We start from the raw sequence: 19,931 nt of genomic DNA on the forward strand, positions 1-19,931 counted from the left end.
AGGCTGAGGTTAGAGGATTGATTGAGCCCAGGCCATTGAGGCTGCAGTGAGCTGAGATCACATCACTGCACTCCAGCCTGAGTGACAGAGCTAGATCCTGTCTCAAAAAAAAAAACAAAGAAAAGAAATTATAAATGTAAATATACATAAATATTACATATACTCTTTTGTTCAAATATTTTAATAATATTAAAAAGTAAAAAAATTAAAATAACCCTTACCTATGCAAGTATTGAAGATTAGACACCTTCCCTGGCTCTCCTTCAAGGATATAATCTCTCTGTTTCTGCAGAAAGTGAAAAAGGTAAAAAGTAAAGCAACTGATGCTCTCCATCGCTCTGACCACCTCATGGAATGGTGGGGTCTCCAAAGTGCCCTGAACATAGACACAAACTCTAGTAAGACAGGAGTCCTCAAATATCAAAGATCTATACTTGACATAATCTAGAATGACAGTGGCACTCAAGTTGCCACTGGCATCTAAAAATTGACCTCAAATAAGAGAACTGAGAGTAACGGCCAGATGAGACTTCCTGTCCACTCCTCCCCGTGCCTAACCCCAAAGCATTAAAATCAGACATTCCACAGTCCACGGCTCTGTGTGAAGGTCTGTGCCACAGATCCCAGTTCCACCCCTTGTGCTGTCAGAGTGTGCCTTTTGTGGCTGGCCGAATAACATACGCCAGAGCTGTCTATATGCTAGCCTCCGTGCAATCTGGGAAGATGTTACCATATATGGTAAAAGAGACTCTACAGATGTGATTAAATTAGGGATCTCTGAATTATCTGGGTGGGTCCAATGTCATCCCAGGGTCCTGAGAAGAGGGAGGCAGATGGGTCAGAGATGCAGAAGATGAAGGAACGGAAGCAGAGGGGAGAGGAGCTGATCGCTTTGAAGCACAAACGGAGAGCCACAAGCCAAGGACTACAGGCAGCCGCTAGAAGCCAGGAGATGCATTCTTGGGAATACTGGAAAAGGATTCCCCTAGGGTTTCTAAAGGAACACAGCCCTGTGAACCCACTAGATTTCTGACCTCGAGAAGCGTAAGATAATACATTTGGATCATCTTAAACCATCAAGTTTGTGGTTAATATGATCGCAGCAACAGGAAATGAATGCGCCTTTGCGGCATCACATTCCTTACATTCTGTGAGGTGTCTCCCAACTGCTATGCATTCAAGGTGAATGACAGTGACAGGGGCTGGGACTCTGTAGGCACCTCTGTTAAGTCGATGAAGGGAAGCACAATACATAAAGGCAGCCTAACGGGGCAAGGAAGCAGGTGACTCCTTAGAGAAAGCAGTGATTCAAAACAAAGTTTATACTCAAGGCTTTGTGGCAGATGCTGAAAAAAAAATAGTTGCTAGGCAACGAAGTTATTGTTGTTTAATGGGTTCAGCGTTTCAGTTTTACAAAATGCAGAGAGTTCTGGAGATGGACTGTTGGTGATGGTTGTACGTTATGAATGCATTTAATTACCACTGAACCATACACTTAAAAATGGTTAAGGTTTTATGTTTAACGTTTTTTACCACAATAAAGTTTTTATGAAGAGGTAATACTTAATTAACTATCAAAGCTTATAGCTGCAAGTATCAGATATTTAGAAACTGCAGAGATCTCTGTGGGCTAGGATGGTGCAGGCATATGCTTTTCAGAAATGGTAAGCTATGAGCTGGACCTTGAAAAACAGATGGGGTTTGGACAGGTGAAGAGGGGCAGGAAAGATTACCCAAGTGTGCGGAGGGAGGGGAATGAGAACAGTGTAACACACGGGGTGGGAAAGGCATTACTGAGATGCCAGTAAGTGGAACAGCTTGAGGCAGAGGACTCAGAAGGATGCAGTGAAGTACAAGGCTGGGAACAGACTAAGGAAGGCTTGTACACCAGCTCAAGTCTGAACTGAGAGGCCAGTGGTCTCTAAGTAGGGCGCATAAAACCCAGGGAGTCTGGGTATGAAACGAAAATTAGAATTTCTATTTCTATTTATCTCATTCAAAAAAGCCCTTATTTTAATGCAGTTTATATATGACAAATTAGTCAAATAATAAGCTATATAATTCATAAATAAATGCATCAGTGGTGCAGGCTCAATGCTGCCTATGGGGTTTATCAGCATAAAAGTTTGGAGGCCATTGCTCAATCCCTAGAGGAAATCACTGGGCTTTTTAAAATTAGACAGGGAAACTAGATTTAGAAAGATTCCATTTGTACTTTGCGAAAGAAAGGCCTGGAGAAGGGAACCGAGACCAAGCCAGAAGAAGCAATTAGGAGACCTTTGCGGTTGCCTAGGCACACGAGAAAAGGCTAATAGAAACAGGTGAAGCAACAATAGGCAAGAGGCCCTGCAAAGGGAGAAGAAGGTGGGTTTGGTGACAGGGACAAAAGAGACAAATAGATCTGAGGTTTTCAGCCTAGATGCCTGAATCAACCACAGGGATAGTGTTTTCAGAAAAGGGAGGCACTGGAGAAGTCCACCTGGAGACAGAATTGGAGGCCACAGGCTTCACAGGCCATATAGGAAACCATTAGGAGGAACAGGGGAGGGAGAAATTAATTTCTCAATGTGATGGAGCCCAGAGGCCCTTGTTTGCTCCCTTACGACCTCACCTCAAAAAAACAAAAACGAAACAGTGGCCAAGCGAGCAGTGCACTCAGAGCACTGGGGTCCACCTGAGAAGGGGACACAGGCTGACCTGGACCCGCCCAGAGCAAGAACCAGGGCTCGGCTGAGGGTCCTACCTGATCTGGCTTGAGCTCCTCCCGAACCACCTGGATGGCGTCCCGACACTCGCTGAGCATTGATTCAAACAGGCGCTCCTTAGTTTCTTCGCTTTCAGCCTAAACAAGGGCAGATCAAAGTAAGAGACTTTCCTTTGAGCAAACCATAGTCACCTAATGGGAGAGGAGCAAAATCGCACATGGAGTCCCCCAACCACACACTCACTCACGCACGCCACACCAGATATCATTTTAATTGTTACTGTTCTCTACCATATAATGGTTTCTCATAGCCTTAGTCATTCATTATTCATATGGAAAGGGGAGTTCTATTTTTAAAAGCAAACATGCTGAAAAAGCTGTCTGCATAACTGATCTGAGACTTAGCAAAGGCTTTACGTCTCTTCCCAGCACAGCTTCCTGCTACTTCCCTGCAGCGCTTCACCCTCTGCTCAGGACCTGGCACCCCTTGAGGGGCCTTACAGACTGGACTTGGGACACTCTACACTGAAGCACAGCACACCAGAACTTTCCTTATCTTTTCCTTCCAGAACAAACTTGTCAAGCTCTACTGTATGCCAACACAATTACCTTTTACAAATGTGACCCAACTCAAAGATTGTTTCTTTTAGGTACAAGGAAATAATAAAAAAGACTAATCAATACCCACCAAAAAGACAGTTCTCCTAAATATCACACTAAGTTCTTTTCGCCACAGACGTGCTGCACTCAGATATTCCACATGACTACTCTGAGAACAATTTTTAGGACATACAAGGTTGACACGCATGAGACGACAGTCTTTGCACAAGTACTGGGTGTCACCTGTCTGCTACACAGCTAGGGTAAGTGAGAAAGTGATTCACTAACTGAATACCTGCCAAGCCACATTATCGTCCCAAAGAATCTGACCGAGCAGATAGAAATGGACAAAAGGCAGAAAGGGGATGAACCTGTGTGACTGGCAGACCCACTGTGAAATTAAAACATCAACATTCCATTATGGTATTTGACTTCCCATAGAAATTAACACTCAATCTGAAAAAATGTGTTAATATTCAACTGACCTCTAAGAAAGCTCAAACGAAAACCCAGTGCTGCCCACCCCTTTAAGAGATGGTTGGGGGAACAGGGGCTTAAAGAAAAACCCTTTTTCTTCTCTTAAGAAAGCTTTTCTTAAAAGTTCTCTTAAGAATCTATTTCTTCTCTTTTCTTAGTCTCCAGTGTGAAAAAAAAAATCTTCCTTGTAACTTACCCAATACAAATCAAACATACTTTTCCACTTATAAGTTACTTGACTTTCCTGTTGTTCACTAACTTGGGAACGAACTGGGGCTCATTCATGCTATAAATCTAGTAAAGCAAACACGGCCACCATTCACTCCTGGAACCACCAGAGCAGCACCATCCAATAGAACTCTCTGCCACGGGCAATGTCCTCTACGTGCACCGTCCAATGAACACCTGAGCACTCGGAAGTTTTATTAATTTATCTATCTTTTTATTATTTTATGTTTTTGAGACAGAGTCTTGCTCTGCTACCCAGGCTGGAGTATAGTGCCGTGATCTCGTCTCACTGTAACCACCGCCTCCTGGGTTCATGAGATTCTCCTGCCTCAGCCTCCGGAGTAGCTGGGACTACAGGTGCCCGCCACCACGCCTGGCTATTTCACCATGTTGGCCAGGCTGGTCTCGAACTCCTGACCTCAGGTGATCCACCTGTCTTGGCCTCCCAAAGTGCTGGGGTTACAGGCAGGAGCCACAGAGCCTGGCTGGAAGTTTTATTAATTTAAATTTCAATAACCACATGTGTTGAGCGGCTACTGCACTGGACAGTGCAGCACTGGAGCACATGCTTTATAGAATATTGTTGGCCGACCCCAGGTTGGCAAGATTCTTTAGAATCACTTCGTCAACCTTACTGGCCTAATTTTTCAAAGTACAAATCTGTGGAATGGTGCCGCCATATAATACTCAGCAACTGGAATAAGATACATAAGTCTAGAGTGCTTAAAAACTCGAGTAAGACATGTGAATGGCAGGGGGTGGGAGGCAAGGGGAGGGAAAGTATTAGGACAAATACCTAATGCACACAGGGCTTAAAACCTAGATGATGGGCTGGGCGCGGTGGCTCACGCCTGTAATCCCAGCACTTTGGGAGGCTGAGGCGGGCGGATCACGAGCTCAGGAGATCGAGACCATCCTGGCTAACACGATGAAACCCCGTCTCTACTAAAAATACAAAAAATTAGCTGGGCATGGTGGTGGGCACCTGTAGTCCCAGCTACTAGGGAGGCTGAGGCAGGAGAATGGCGTGAACCCGGGAGGCGGAGGTTTCAGTGAGCCGAGATCGCGCCACTGCACTCCAGCCTGGGCGACAGAGCCAGACTCCATCTCAAAAAAAAAAAAAAAAAATCCCTAGATGATGAGTTGATAGGTGCAGCAAACCACCATGGCACATATATACCTATATAACAAACCTGCATGTTCTGCACATGTATCCCAGAACTTAAAAAAAAAAAAAAAAAGACATGTGAATGGACTTGGCACCACTACTTAAGAAACACACATGGCGTCGGACGCGGTGGCTCACGCCTGTAATCCCAGCACTTTGGGAGGCAGATGTGGGCAGATCACTTGAGTCCAGGAGTTTGAGACCAGCCTGGGCAACATGACAAAACCCCATGTCTACAAAAAATGCAAAAAAAATTAGCCAGGTGTGGTGGTGCATGCCTGTGGTCCCAGCTATTCCAGGAGGCAAAGGTGGGAGGACCAACTGAGACCAGGAGGTGGAGGTTGCAGTGAGCTGAGATTGTGCCACTGCACTTTGGCCTGGGTGACAGGGTGAGACCCTGTCTCAAAAAAAAAAAAAAAAAAAAGAAACACACATATACCACAGCCACATTCTCAGCAGAAAGGAAGAGCTACGGCGCCCGTTTTAATTCCATGCAATCCAACAAACATGCCAACACCCTTCTCAGACAAGTGGGGTTAAGTGGTTGGAGCAACCGGCGTTCAAGAAAAGAGCGAACTTCGTCTTACCAGCTACACAGGATTTGCCTCTTTTCCTGTCGGTAGGGTACAGTTCAAGTTTAAAACCTCTTGACTGCCACGTATCACCTCTGCTCCCTTTAACTAAGCCTCTGCATCAAGGTGCTGAAACCAAAAAACCTCCCCACTGCTCCCACAAAGCTCTAAGTTCCCACTGGGAATTTTACAAACATCCTAAAAAGCAATGAAGGAAAAAGTCGATTTGAAGGGCGGGACTTAAGTCAGTTGTGTTTTTCTTACGACGCCCACACTGCAATGACTCAGACCACTAATCTCTGAAGGAGAAGCTCTCATGATTCTCCCTGGGCAGGGCAAAATGTCTCCAAACAGGAAGCCTTCAATATATTTTGCTATTTACACTTTTATTCTATAAATCTATATTCAAGGCTAAGATGATTCCTGAAAGGACAGTGGAATAAGAAACTCCTCTCAACACGCAGAGGCAGGATTCCTGGCCACCTGTACACCGACCTTCTCCGCCAGCCACTGGACCAACCAGAACGTGCTCTTAAACATAAGTGGCAAAACTCCCTGCACAAAAATTGGTGGTCTGACTAGACCTTTTCCCAGGTGTGCCTATGACAGTGAGAAATCTTAAGCCCAGAAGTAATATGTTACTGATTAGTCCAAATGAATCAATCAATCCTAGGTCAGCTTTTACAAAACTTGAAACCTTCAGGATGGGCTTTTCTGCAGTCTCAGGTTCTCTCGTCAGGCTCAGTTTCAAAACTGACTGGTGCGGAGGAAAGCGAGCTGCAGTGTGTCCTGAGGTACAGACCTCCCGCTTTAAAAAGCACATTCTCAGATTGTTTTCACTTGTCTATGGAAATTGCTGGAAGGTGGTAGTATGACTAAGAGACACACAAGGCAAGTCTGACCACATTCCCAACCACACCCCTACTATGGGGACAAGAATCAAACCTTACCCAGCCCAGTGAGGTTTAGGAAAAAAATACATGGAAATCTGGTAAAGAAGGAAACAAATCTCACTTGAGAATATACATGAATATATATAAATATACATTGTTTTTTAAGAAAAAGATAAATGGTCCCTCTTCCACTCAAATATTAAAATATTAACCATAACTTGAGGATAAGAATCACCAAGCCTGAGCTGGGCGCTGTGGCTCACGCCTGTAATCCCAGCACTTTGGGAGGCCGAGGCGGGTGGATTGCCTGAAGTCAGGAGTTCGAGACCTACTAAAAATACAAAAAATTAGTTGGGCATGGTGGTATGCGCCTGTAATCCCAGCTACTTGGGAGGCTGAGGCAGGAGAATCACTTGAACCCGGGACACGGAGGTTGCAGTGAGCTGAGATCACACCATTGCACAACGCGTTAATAAAAACAGGATACAGAACTGTATCTTAGTATAATTCCAGCAAGGGAAAAAAAAACATAAGAACTCTCATGAATATAAAAAACATTAAAAAGAAACAGTGCTTTCCTTTCAGTATGATGTCATATCAATGAAGGCATATAGGAAGTGAGACAATAGGCTGATCTTTTTTTTTTTGAGACAAAGTCTCGCTCTTATCCCCCAGGCTGGAGTGCAATGGCGCAATCTCGGCTCACTGCAACCTCCGCCTCCCGGGTTTAAGTGATTCTCCTGCCTCAGCCTCCCGAGTAGCTGGGATTACAGACGTCTACCACCACACCCGGCTAATTTTTTTTTTGTACTTTTAGTAGAGATGGGGTTTCACCATGTTGGCCAGGCTGGTCTCATTTCGAACTCCTGATCTCAGGTAATCCGCCAGCCTTGGCCTCCCAAAGTGCTGGAATTACAGGCGTGAGCCACCGCACCCGGCCTAGGCTGATCTTTTAAAAATTAAATTAAATTTCAATAGTTTTGGGGGAACAGGTGGTTTCTGGTTACATGGATAAGTTCTTCTATGGTGATTTCTGAGACTCTGGTGCACCTGTCACCCAAGCAGTGTACACGGTACCCAATGTGTAGTCTTTTATCTCTCACTCCCTCCCACCCTTTCCAGGCTGATCTTCTTAAAACATCATGTGGGCCCGGTGCAGTGGCTGATGCCTGTAATTCCAGCACTTTGGGAGGCTGAGGCGGGTGGATCACGAGGGCAGGAGTTTGAGACCATCCTGGCTAACATGGTGAAACCCCGTCTCTACTAAAAATAAAAAAATTAGCCGGGTGTGATGGTGGGTGCCTGTAGTCCCAGCTACTCTGGAGGCTGAGGCAGGAGAATGGCGTGAACCTGGGAGGTGGAGCTTGCAGTGAGCAGAGATTGCACCGCTGCACTCCAGCCTGGGTGACAGAGAGAGACTCTGTCTTTAAAAAAAAAAAAAATGTGTATTTAAACTTTAAGTTATTAACTTTTTTTTCTTCTTTTTTTTTTTTTTTTTTTGGAGACAGAGTTGCACAGTTACCCAGGCTGCAGCATAGTGGTGTGATTTCAGCTCACTGCAGCCTCAAGCTCCCGGGCTCAAGTGATCCTCTTGCCTCAGCCTCCAAGTAGCTGGGACTACAGGTGCACGCCACCACGCCCAGCTAAATTTTTTGGTACTTTTTTTTGTAGAGATGGGGTTTCACCATGATGCCCAGGCTGGTCTCCAACTCCTGAGCTCAAGTGATCTGCCTTCCTCCGCTTCTCAAAGCACTAGGATTATAGCCATGAGCCACCGTGCCAGCAGTAACTTTTCAAAATTACTTAATAAATGCTAGCTTTTCCTGTTCTTCATTTGGTACGTGTCTGTAGCCCCACTCTGAAAGAGCCCTCATTTAACTTGCCCCTATGGATCTCTCTCCCCCAACTCCTCTTCAAGTCAGAATTCCTGCCCCACTGTCTCTGCTGTCTGGCACTGAACTGAGGACAGAAGTAGTTTCTTTCTTCCAGCATTGATCACTTTTAAAACCAAAGCACTAACCCAATCACATAATCTGAATAGTTGCTACCAGAGCCGTTGTCCAGTGGAGGTAGCACCATACAACAGTGCCAATAGAATGCTCTCAAAAAAAGTTCCTTAGCCTTTCAGTTTAAGCAAAAATTAACTTTCTAGTACTGTTCTAGTCTTCTGTCCTTTAAGCAAATAAAAGGGATATGAGACAGGCAATACGAAACACAGACAAGGACACACATCAACTCTTCAGCTGTTGAAGGCTGCCTCCAACCCATAGTAGCCATTCTGGAGCAAGTTGCTGAAATTTTAGATGCTTAAGCCAATTCCTCAACACATTAACAAAACACCACCCCACCAACCCATACACAAATTATTCAGGGTGCAAAAGATAACTGTGAGGTCTTCGGAAATGCCACTGTTCCCTGATGAGGCAGTAGACTGTCAGCAGCCTGTTTTTTTAAAGATGTCCTTTAACTCATGTGGAAAAGAAGCTCTAAAAAGTGCCCCCATCACTGTCTATGTCATACAAAGGTCACCAGGATGTCTTATCTTTTAGGACGCATTTGGTTGTTTGTACCCACCAATAGGTAACTATGTCAGTAGGCAGTATCAAGTGATAACAGTTTTGCATGAATATTACATGTACACCGCACACAAAACAAGACATTCTGGTTTAACCAGGCTATCCTGCAAAGCCCCAGGACTAAGAGGTGAACCCTTTAGGGCTAGGAGGTTACGACAACATGTCAGAGAAACTTCAGAGACATAATAGTTAAGCTGCTGCACCACCTGCTGGGCCAAATGTGACCCCTTACTTTAAGCCAGCCTCTAATGCCTCCCATTTTTATGTTGATGACTGTTGCTGTCAATTTCTTTGCCCTCTAAACATTAAGAATTCCTCTATAAACTCAGTTTTCAAAATAATTTTATTCAATAAGGCACATCTCCGTACTTACCAAATCCAAAACAGCATTAAAAGTTTGTTTTATGAGAACTGAATACCAACGAGCCACTACATCTTAAACACACAGGACAACCTTCAGACACATACAGAAGACAGCACAGTAAGTTCTTCCTCCTCACCTGGACAATAGCTGCTTCGTTATCAGCCAGTCCTAATAAGAAAATGCGCACTTTGTCAATCTTCACTGGAACCGTTCTCCCTCTCCACTCCACTTCACTCATGGTAGCTGCCTGTTTGGCTCGAGTCTGAGTGATCAAAGCCTGAAAAATAGTTTAAAAAAGTTAAAGCTTTAACTGGGGATATGAGTGATGGAGGTGAAAATAAGTGGAATCTATCATTTGTCTCTTTGTATAACCAACATATTATACTCCATAGAAAGTAGAGTATACACCAATTTCTTTCATTTTTTTTGAGACAGTCTTGCTCTGTCACCCAGGCTGGAGTGCAGTGGCGCTATCTAGGCTCACTGCAACCTCTGCTTCCCAGGTTCAAGGAATTCTTGTGCCTTAGCCTCCTGAGAAGCTAGAACTACAGGCACATGCCACCATGCCCGACTAATTTTTGTATTTTTAGTAGAGACGAGGTTTCACCACGTTGGCCAGACTGGTCTCAAACTCCTGGCCTCAAGTGATCCACTTGCCTCAGCCTCCCAAAGTGCTGGGATTACAAGCATGAGCCACTGTGCCAGGCCTCTTTAATTTTTTTAGTAGACAGGGTCTTGCTCTGTTGCCCAGGCTGGAGTGCAGTGGCCTAATGACAGCTTACTGCAACCTCCAACTCCTGGGCTCAAGTGATCCTTTTGCCTCAGCCTCTCGAGCAGCTAGGACTACAGGTATGTGTCACCATGCCTGGCTAATTTAAGAAAAAAAAAAATTTTTTTTTTTTTTGAGACGGAGTTTTGCTCTTGTTGCCCAGGCTGGAATGCAATGGTATGAGCTCAGCTTACTGCAACCTCCACCTCCCAAGTAGCTGGGATTAGAGGCCTGCACCACCACATCCAGCTAATTTTGTATTTTTAGTACAGACGGGGTTTCTCCGTGTTGGTCAGACTGGTCTCGAACTCCTGACCTCAGGTGATCCATTCACCTTGGCCTCCCAAAGTGCTGGGATTACAGACATAAGCCACTGTGCCCAGCCTCTGAAAAAAATTTTTTTTGTAGAGGTGGGGTCTCACTGTGTTGCCCCGGCTGGTCTTGAACTCCTGGGCTCGAGTTATCCTTTCACCTCAGCCTCCCACAGTGCCAGGATTACAGGTGTGAACCACCCTGCTGGCCACCAATTTCTATTTGTTTTAAATTTCTCCCTGGTATCATATATTTTAGCTACAGAAATTCAAATATTAAAAGGACATAGCGGAAGGTTAAAAAGAGTAACACTAAGTTTTGGTAAGGATGTAAGGAGAAAAGCATATCTGTATACGCTACAAGCAGGAATGCTAATCAGTAGAAACTTAAAGACATTTGTCAGTATGTATCAAGTTTCCAAACCATTTAATTCCAGTTTTAGGAATTTATCCTAAGGAAATAATCAAGAATGTGTGCAAAATCTGAGGACATGGACATTCATGGTAATACTGTTTACCACTTAATGAACAATGAATGGTTAAATAAAACAGACTTCTATGCAACGGAGTACCATGCAGCCATCAAAGGATGATGGTGTATGGCTGGATAAGGTGGATCATGCCTGTGATCCCCTGTGATCCCAGCACTTTGGGAGGCTAAGGCGAACAGATTGCTTGAGCGCAGGAGTTCGAGAATGAGACCAGCCTGGGAAACACAGTGAGACTCTGTCTCTACCAAAAAACAAAAAAAAGTTAGCTAGGAGTGGTAACCTTCACCTGTAGTTCCAGCTACTCAGGAGGCTGAGGCAGGAGGATCACTTGAGAGCAGGAAATCAAGGCAGCAGTGAGTCAAAATCAAGCTACTGCACTCTGGCCTGGGCAAAAGAGACGCTGTTCAAAAAAATAATAATAAGTAAGCCGGGCGCGGTGGCTCACGCCTATACTCCCAGCACTCTGGGAGGCAGAGGCAGGTGGATCACGAGGTTAGGAGATTGAGACTATCCTGGCCAACATGGTGAAACCCCGTCTCTACTAAAATACAAAAATTAGCCGGGCGTGGTGGCGGGCGCCTGTAATCCCAGCTACTTGGGAGGTTGAGGCAGGGGAATCGCTTGAACCTGGGAGGTGGAGGTTGCAGTGAGCCAAGATTGCACCATTGCACTCCAGCCTGGCGATAGAGCAAGACTCCGACTCTAAATAAATAAATAAATATGGCAACCATGTGGTTTATATTTTTCCCTGATCTTTTGTATTTCTTGCTTTTTCTATATTACTTGCTTAGAAAATAAATGTAATGAGGTTAAACAATTGAATACTTGGCCGAGAACAGTGGCTCATGCCTGTAATCCCAGAACGCTGGGAGGCCGAGGCGGGCAGATCACTTGCAGTGAGCTGAGATCACGCCACTGCACTTTAGCCTGAGCGACAGAGTAAGACTGTCTCAAAAAAAAAAAAAAAAAAAGAATACTTCAAGTGTTAACTGCAAAAAGTTTTTTGGGCCGGGCGCGGTGGCTCATGCCTGTAATCCCAGCACTTTGGGAGGCTGAGGCGGGCGGATCTCGAGGTCAGGAGATCGAGACCATCCTGGCTAAGGCGGTGAAACCCCATCTCTACTACAAATATAAAAAAATTAGCCAGGCATGGTGGCAGGCGGCTGTAGTCCCAGCTACTTGGGAGGCTGAGGCAGGAGAATGTCGTGAACCTGGGAGGTGGAGCTTGCAGTAAGCCGAGATCGTGCCACCGCACTCCAGCCTGGGTGACAGAGCGAGACTCCATCTCAAAAAAAAAAAAAAAAAAAAAAAAAGAAAAAGTTTTTTGTTCAAACTTTTAGCAAATGTAGATATTTGCTAATACAGATATAAATATCCATATATTAATATCAAATATCCCTAGGGGATTATGAATTACTCCTTCTGGACTTTGTCCAAAGACTTTTCACAAAAATGTACATACTAGATTACCTCCAATTTTTCAGCCAAGAGACCCTCAGTGCCCCCAGACCTCAATCTCATCTGCATGAGTTCATTGATGGCTGACTGGTCCCCTAAGAGAGAAAGACAGGAAAATCTTCAAGGGTCTGGTCTGTTTTCTTGAGAATCACTAGATTCAACTCAGACTTAAAGAGCTCTTCCCCCTCCACATGCTACTTCAATGAATCTGCAGCACAATCTGTTCTCTGAAGACAAGTCTTTTATAAAGAATGAAATTGACTGGGGCAATGAAAATACTCCATATGGTATATAATGGTAAATACACATCATGAAACATTTGTCCAAACCCATAGAATGTACAACATCAAGCGTGAACCCTGATGTAAACTATGGACTTTGGGAGATGATGGTGTGTCTATAAAGGGCCATCAATTGTAACAAATGCACCCCTCTGGTGGGGGAAGATGCTAATGAGAGAGGCTATGGATGTGGGGAGGTGGGGTTACATGGATCTCTGTATCTTTCTCTCAGCCTTGCTGTGAACCTAAAACTGCTCTAAAACAGTAAAAAATGAACTCAGCCGGAGACTCAAGACTGCTCTTCGGGGGTACACAGCACAGCAGGACAGACACAGAAGCAGAACCGTCTTCTATAATTTTGGGCAGGGCTGGCTTCAACAGTTCTGCTTTTGCCATCAACCAAAACTCAGGTCAATGATGGAGGCAAGCGAAGAAGAAAGTTACATCAACTCTCTAGGCTCTCTGAAGTGAGCTCCCAATAGGCCATCTATCAATGTTCAAGTTGAGTATAATGCCTTGATCCCTGCTCTCACCAATATTATATGCACAATAGCGGATGTTGGGTGAAATCTCTTCCACACGTTGGTTATACAGCACAGCCTGCTCCTCTGTGAAAGCACTGGCTAGCTTCTCATAGATAGTTCTGCGAGAAAAGAAAAGCCAGGTTTTACATCAGCCTTATATAAGAAAAACTCATGGGGAACACAGTGACTAAAAACAAATTATGGCCTTTTGAAGCTCTCCTACCAACTACCATAACTGGCATGTTCTAAGGTTGAAAGAGAATCATCAACATTTCTATAGGAAAGAAAAGTCACCCTCACTTTCACAGAAACAATCCACTATCTGATCTGCAGCTTAAATTTGACAATCTGTAATTAAAACTGGCCACAGCCTTTGGACTATAGGACTTACTTGCATTTGTTAAAAGCCTCAATGGCAGCTTTCCATTCTTGATGTTCAAAACGTAGCATTCCTGAGAGGTAAGCTGTGTAAGCCTGTGAGGAGATGGAAGAGGAGGAACTGCTTCAACAGCAAACCAGTGCTCCCACTCAATCTTCCTTTATTGGCTTCTAACTTTGATATCAAGAATATGGATATGGGCCAGGTGCAGTGGCTCACACCTGTAATCCCAGCACTTTGGGAGGCCCAGGTGGGAGGATCACTTGAACCCACAGTTGAAGACAAGCCAGGGCAATATAGCAAGACCCTGCCTCTACAAAAAAATTTAAAAATAAGAATAAATTTTAAAAAAAGAAGAAAAAAAAGAACATGGATATGGGCTGGGCATGGGGCTCACACCTGTAATCCTAGCAATTTGGGAGGCCGAGGCAGGAGGGTTACTTGAGCTCAAGAGTTCAAGATCGGCCTGGGCAACACAGCAAGATCTCATCTCTACCAAAAATTAAAAAAAAATTACCCGGGTGTGGCCAGGCGCAGTGGCTCATGCCTGTAATCCCAACACTGGGAGGCCGAGGTGAACGGATCACCTGAGGTCAGGAGTTGGGGACCAGCCTGGCCAACATGGTGAAAACCTGTCTCTACTAAAAATACAAAAAAATTAGCTGGACATGGCGGCAGGCGCCTGTAATCCCAGCTACTCGGGAGGCTGAGGCAGGAGAATTGCTTGAAACTGGGAGGCAGAGGTTGCAATGGGCTGAGACTGCACCACTGCATTCCAATCTGGGCGACAGAGTGAGACTCTGTCTCAGAAAAAAAAAAAAAAAAATTTAGCCAGGTGTGGTGGTGTGCACCTCTAGTCCCAACTACTCAGGAGGCCATGGCAGGAGGACTGCATGAGCCCAGGAGTTCATGACTGCAGCGAGCCATGACTGTGCACTCCAGCTTGGGACACAGTGAGACTCTCTTTCTAAAAAACAAACAAAAAACCCAAACAAAGAATATGGAGATATATATATATAATATATATATAATATACATTATATATTATATAATATACATTATATATTATATAATATACATTATATATTATATAATATACATTATATAATATATAATATACATTATATATTATATAATATATAATATACATTATATATTATATAATATACATTATATATTATATAATATACATTATATAATATATAATATACATTATATATTGTATATTATACAATATATTATATTTATTTTATATATATATATATATATATATATATATATATATAAAATATATATATATATTTTTTTTGAGATGGAGTCTTGCTCTGTCCCCCAGGCTGGAGCGCAGTGGCACAATCTCAGCTCACTGCAAGCTCCGCCTCCCGGGTTCACACCATTCTCCTGCCTCTGCCTCCTGAGTAGCTGGGACTACAGGTGTCCGCCACTACGCCCAGCTAATTTTTTGTATTTTTAGTAGAGATGGGGTTTCACCGTGTTAGCCAGGATGGTCTCGATCTCCTGACTTTGTGATCTGCCCACCTTGGCCTCCCAAAGTGCTGGGATTACAGGCGTGAGCCACCACGCCCGGCCTAAGAATATAGATATATTAATCACAGGTTGATTTTTAAAGAGAAATACGTATTTAACCAATAAAATGTGATACATAGGCAATTTATTATGATTTATTCACTTCCCAGGAAAGAACTTCAAAAGAAGGAAATTTGTTTTCTGCATTTTACTTAACCATTTTCTGAGCTATAACATAAGCATCAGAAGTTGAATAAAACCTTGCAATATCTACCATCTCTTTTTTAAAAAACTCACTTCCAAAAAAAAGTTTACTTTGTGAACTTTCCAGGTACAAGATTGTAAGCTTTCATCTATATATCAAAACATGACCTTTCTTAAAAAGTTACAGCTAGATGGCCACGTGCAGTGGCTCACGCTTGCAATCCCAGCACTTTGGGAGGTCAAGGCAGGTGGGTGGATCACGAGGTCAGGAGCTCGGGACCAGCCTGGCCAACACAGTGAAACCCTGTCTCTACTAAAAATAAAAAAATTAGCCAGGCGTGGTGGCACGTGCCTATAATCCCACCTACTCGGGAGGCTGAGGCAGGAGAATTGCTTGAACCTGACAGGCAGACGTTGCAGTGAGCTGAGAACGCGCCACTGCACTCCAGCCTGGGCGACAAAGCAAGACTCTGTCTGAAAAAAAAAAAAAAAAAAGTTACAGCTAGTTATAAAAAACCAAGAGCTTGGGAATACTCATTCTATTTTATGGAATGAAGCGTTGCCCAATTTTAAAAAAAGGATAAAAAAAATCAAGAGCTGATAAACAAAACATGCTAACTTCTCCTCTTAAAAGCAAGTTCGGAAAGTTTTTTTCCTCTTCTGACTGTCACTTTCTAACACTAAGAAACTCTGTTCTGTTTAACTGCAGCTTTTTAAAATGTCTTTAATCTCCACAATAAACAAGCTGAATGTTGAGGTACTAACCTGAGCCTCTAATTTGGTCTTGGCATCCACGCGATTGCTCTCACACAAGCGTTCCAATTCCTCTGCATGCTTCACGGCTTTGCGTAGGCGAGATAACAAGTGAAACCGTTTTCGGGGTTCAGTGTTGGCTTCCTGTTTCAGCTGCATGGCGTAGCTCCAGGCTCTTTCAGCATCCATCAGAACCAGAAGCAAGTATCTAGACCAGAGACAGAAGTGGGGAGACAATAAAGGCCATCAACAGACCCAGATATTCTCTGAGGTGTAATCTTCGGCTTCTCGGCTTTTCTTTATACTCTCCCGCCTTTGCCACTCTCAAAACAACTCTTCTGATATTCTCAGCCATGACTCTAAACCAGTATCTCTATTCCTAACCTGGGCTCAATCTCAGGTTTCTCATCATCTACTAGACACATCTCATTGAAAAGCCTCTACCACCTCAAACACGGTAAATCCAGAATCATGACCTACCCCTCCTGAATGTTGTCAAACAGACACGGTCTAGGCACACGATCTGGCCTCATTTTTGAATCAACACTTCCTTCATCTCAATCCAGTTAGAAAAGTCCTTAAGAGGCAGTATATTGCCTAGGTGCGGTGGTTCACACCTATAATCCCAGCACTTTGGGAGGCTGAGCCAGGCATATCACCTGAGGTCAGGAGTTCGAGATCAGCCTGGCCAACATGGTGAAACCCCATCTCTACTAAAAATACAAAAATTAGCTGGGTGTGTTGGTATGCGCCTGTAATCCCAGCTACTTGGGAGGCTGAGGCAGGAGTATCTCTTGAACCGAGGAGGCGGAGGTTGCAGTGAGCTGAGATCACGCCACTATACTCTCGTTTGGGCAACAGGGCAAGACTCCATCTCAAAAAAAAAAAAAAAAAAAAGAGGCAGTATATTAAAGTGGTGATAAACAAGAGCTCCAGAGCCCGGGACAGAATCCCAGTGCCACCGCTTACTAGCTGTGTGACTGTGGGCAAAGTACTAACCTTTCTGCGCACCGCTCTCCCATGTAGTAATACAAATAACACATTTAGACCAGAACCTGGCACTTACTAAGTGCTCAGTAAGGTCGTTAACTACTTTATTATTATACTGGTGAATCTTTCTTTACTGCCTTGATCAATCTGTCTTAAACTTCAGCTTAACCTTGTCTCTTCAGAGTAAAGGATCTTGCTATCATAAGATAGTCCAGGCTCGGTGTAGTGGCTCATGTCTGTAATCCCAGTACACTGGGAGGCTGAGGTGGGAGGATCACTTGAGGCCAGGAGTTTGAAACCAGCCTGGTCAGCACAGCGAGATCCCATCTTTACAAAAGAAAAAAAGAGAAAAGTTAGCTGGGCATGGTGGTACATGCCTATAGTCCCAGCTACTCAGGAGGGTGAGACAGGAGTTGTTCAAGGCTGCAGTAAGCTATGATCCCACTGCTACACTCCAGCCTGGGTGACAGTGAGACCCTGTCTCAAAAAAAAAAAAAAAAAAAAAAGGGAGAGTCCAGATTTCTCCCAACTGGTTCTCATGAGATTTAATCACTACATCCTGCTGCATCCTATTATGGTCTCCAGGCTCTAGCTTTCTGACTGTACACACCAAGCTCACAACCTTTTCACTGCCTGAGTAGCAGCTAACAAGTGTCCAGAGCTTTACAGTTCCTAGACTGCATGCACGGATACCAGGGCATGCTGCTTCCCCCGACACAGAATGTTCTTCACTCTCACAAATCCTTCAAGGTCAAGCCTCCTCTGTGTGGGCTTACTGACTTCCCTGTCAAAAGCCTTCAAGCTCAAGTCTCCTTTCCAAGGCTTTAGAATGCTGAACAGTAAATGATATACAACATTGCACTTTTACTGTAGCATTCCCTGGTTTGCACTGACCAACATTTTCCAATAAGATGAAAGTCAATGAGGTTCAAGGACCATGCCTCCTCTCCTTCTATATCTAGTGTGTCACAACTACTCTGCTGATGTAGCACAAAGCAGCTCTAAACAATACCTATGTGAATGGGCGTGGCTGGGTTCCAATAAAACTTCATTTACACAAAAGGTGGCAGCAGCGTAATTTGGCCCGTAACTGTGAGGAAGACCCGGGGGCCTTGACTACATGTTGCCTGACAGACTAAAAATTCTTCAGCAAATGCCAAGCACTGGTGTATTCAGCACTGAAATACAAGACTCTTCTATAATAATTTACACACCAGCCTGGCGCAGTAGCTCACGTCTGTAATCCCAGCACTTTGGAAGGCAAGAGGTGGGTGGATCACCTGAGGTCAGGAGTTCAAGACAAGCCTGGCCAACATGGTGAAACCCTGTCTCTACTAAAAATACAAAACTCAGCTGGGCGTGGTGTCACGTGCCTGTAATCCCAGCTACTCCGGAGGCTGAGGCAGGAGAAGCTTGAACCCGGGAGGTGGAAGTTGCAGTGAGGTGAGACGACACCACTGCACTCCAACCTGGGCAACAGAGTGAGACTCCGTCTCAAAAAAAAAAAAAAACACACCACTCAACCACTCAATTTCATTAAGATATATTGATATATGCATCTAGTTTCAGACATTGAAATTTATATTCTAGAAACCTTACCTAATAATCAATTAGATTCTAATCACTGACTTCAACATTTGCCATCCCAACAGGTTTTTTTTTTTTTTTTTTGGTTTTAAAAAGCAGAGTTTAATAGGCAAGAAGGGAGAAGAAGCTTCCCTGTACAGAGACAGAGGAAGGGGGGCTCCAAAGCTGAGACAGTGAATCTCACCCCCTCCTTTTTTTTTTTTTGAGATGGAGTGTCACTCTTGTTGCCCAGGCTGAAGTGCAATGGTGTGATCTTGGCTCACTGCAACCTCTGCCTCCCGGGTTCAAGTAATTCTTGTGCCTCAGCCTCCTGAGTAGCTGGGATTACAGGCGCCTGCCACCATGCCCGGGTAATTTTTATATTTTTAGTAAAGTAGGGGTTTTGCCATGTTGGCCAGGCTGGTCTTGAACTCCTGACCTCAGGTGATCCACCCACCTTGGCCTCCCAACGTGCTGGGATTATAGGCGTGAACCACTGCACCTGGCCCCAACACAGTTCTTGAACAACCTAATGTATCTCTTTGAGCCTCAGTTTCCTTGCCTTAGAACACAGGAATAGTAAACAATGCCCAGCCCACAGAGATAATTAAAAGGTTTGGCATGAAGTCTACCACGTCATTGTTCAATAAATGTATTAGCAAGAAGTAATTTGCAACTAGCATGGAGCAGTCAATACCTATTATCGGTCAGAAGCTCTTCAGTCACTTTCTTCCCTGTGAATTTGTGTCTGTTACCCATCTTGAAGTTGAGTGTTTTTCGAAGACGTCTTTGTCTACGGGAACAGTAGCCCCTGTAAGAAACCACAAACAAAACTCACTCAGCCAAGCTGAGAGTATTTTGAATAATAAATTCTGCAATAAGGCAAGGTCAAGGGTCAATGGTTTGGGATATTATACTTATGGTTACTAGAATTATCACATATCAGCTTCCAAACATTTTTTTCTTTTCTTTGAGACAGAGTCTGGCTCTGTCACCCAGGCTGGAGTGCAGTGGTGTGATCTTGGCTCACTGCAGCCAGGCTCAGTCAATCCTCCCACCTCAGCCTCCTGGGTAGATGTGACCAACAGAGGTGTAC

General features: G+C 44.2%; 1 protein-coding gene across 4 annotated transcripts in view, besides 1 other annotated feature; it reads right to left on the reverse strand.

Annotated features, from left to right (window-relative positions):
• Window positions 1–19,931, reverse strand: part of SRP68 (signal recognition particle 68) — a 33,733-nt gene that overhangs the window by 8,900 nt on the left and 4,902 nt on the right. For 2 of the 4 annotated variants that reach the window (NR_048541.2, NM_014230.4), the window contains 8 exons: window positions 19,533–19,646; window positions 16,292–16,487; window positions 13,808–13,890; window positions 13,426–13,535; window positions 12,624–12,706; window positions 9,719–9,859; window positions 2,744–2,842; window positions 222–286 (listed from right to left, as the gene is read on the reverse strand). Coding sequence is in view for 3 of the 4 variants with exons in the window: in NM_014230.4 (NP_055045.2) it covers window positions 222–286; window positions 2,744–2,842; window positions 9,719–9,859; window positions 12,624–12,706; window positions 13,426–13,535; window positions 13,808–13,890; window positions 16,292–16,487; window positions 19,533–19,646 (891 nt within the window). In the remaining variant the exon portion in view is untranslated. Of the gene's footprint in view, window positions 1–221; window positions 287–2,743; window positions 2,843–5,764; window positions 5,973–9,718; window positions 9,860–12,623; window positions 12,707–13,425; window positions 13,536–13,807; window positions 13,891–16,291; window positions 16,488–19,532; window positions 19,647–19,931 lie in introns of those variants that run through there. The other 2 variants (NM_001260502.2, NM_001260503.2) reach the window with 2 other exon arrangements.
• Window positions 476–545: a silencer, noted in NCBI's record as "silent region_9001". NCBI's record gives its function as "represses an Ori minimal core promoter by ATAC-STARR-seq in GM12878 lymphoblastoid cells {active_cell/tissue: GM12878}" and the evidence as "EXISTENCE:reporter gene assay evidence [ECO:0000049][PMID:35858748]".

The sequence above is a fragment of the Homo sapiens genome, chromosome 17 (genome assembly GCF_000001405.40).
Source record: "Homo sapiens chromosome 17, GRCh38.p14 Primary Assembly".
Lineage (NCBI taxonomy): Eukaryota > Metazoa > Chordata > Mammalia > Primates > Hominidae > Homo > Homo sapiens.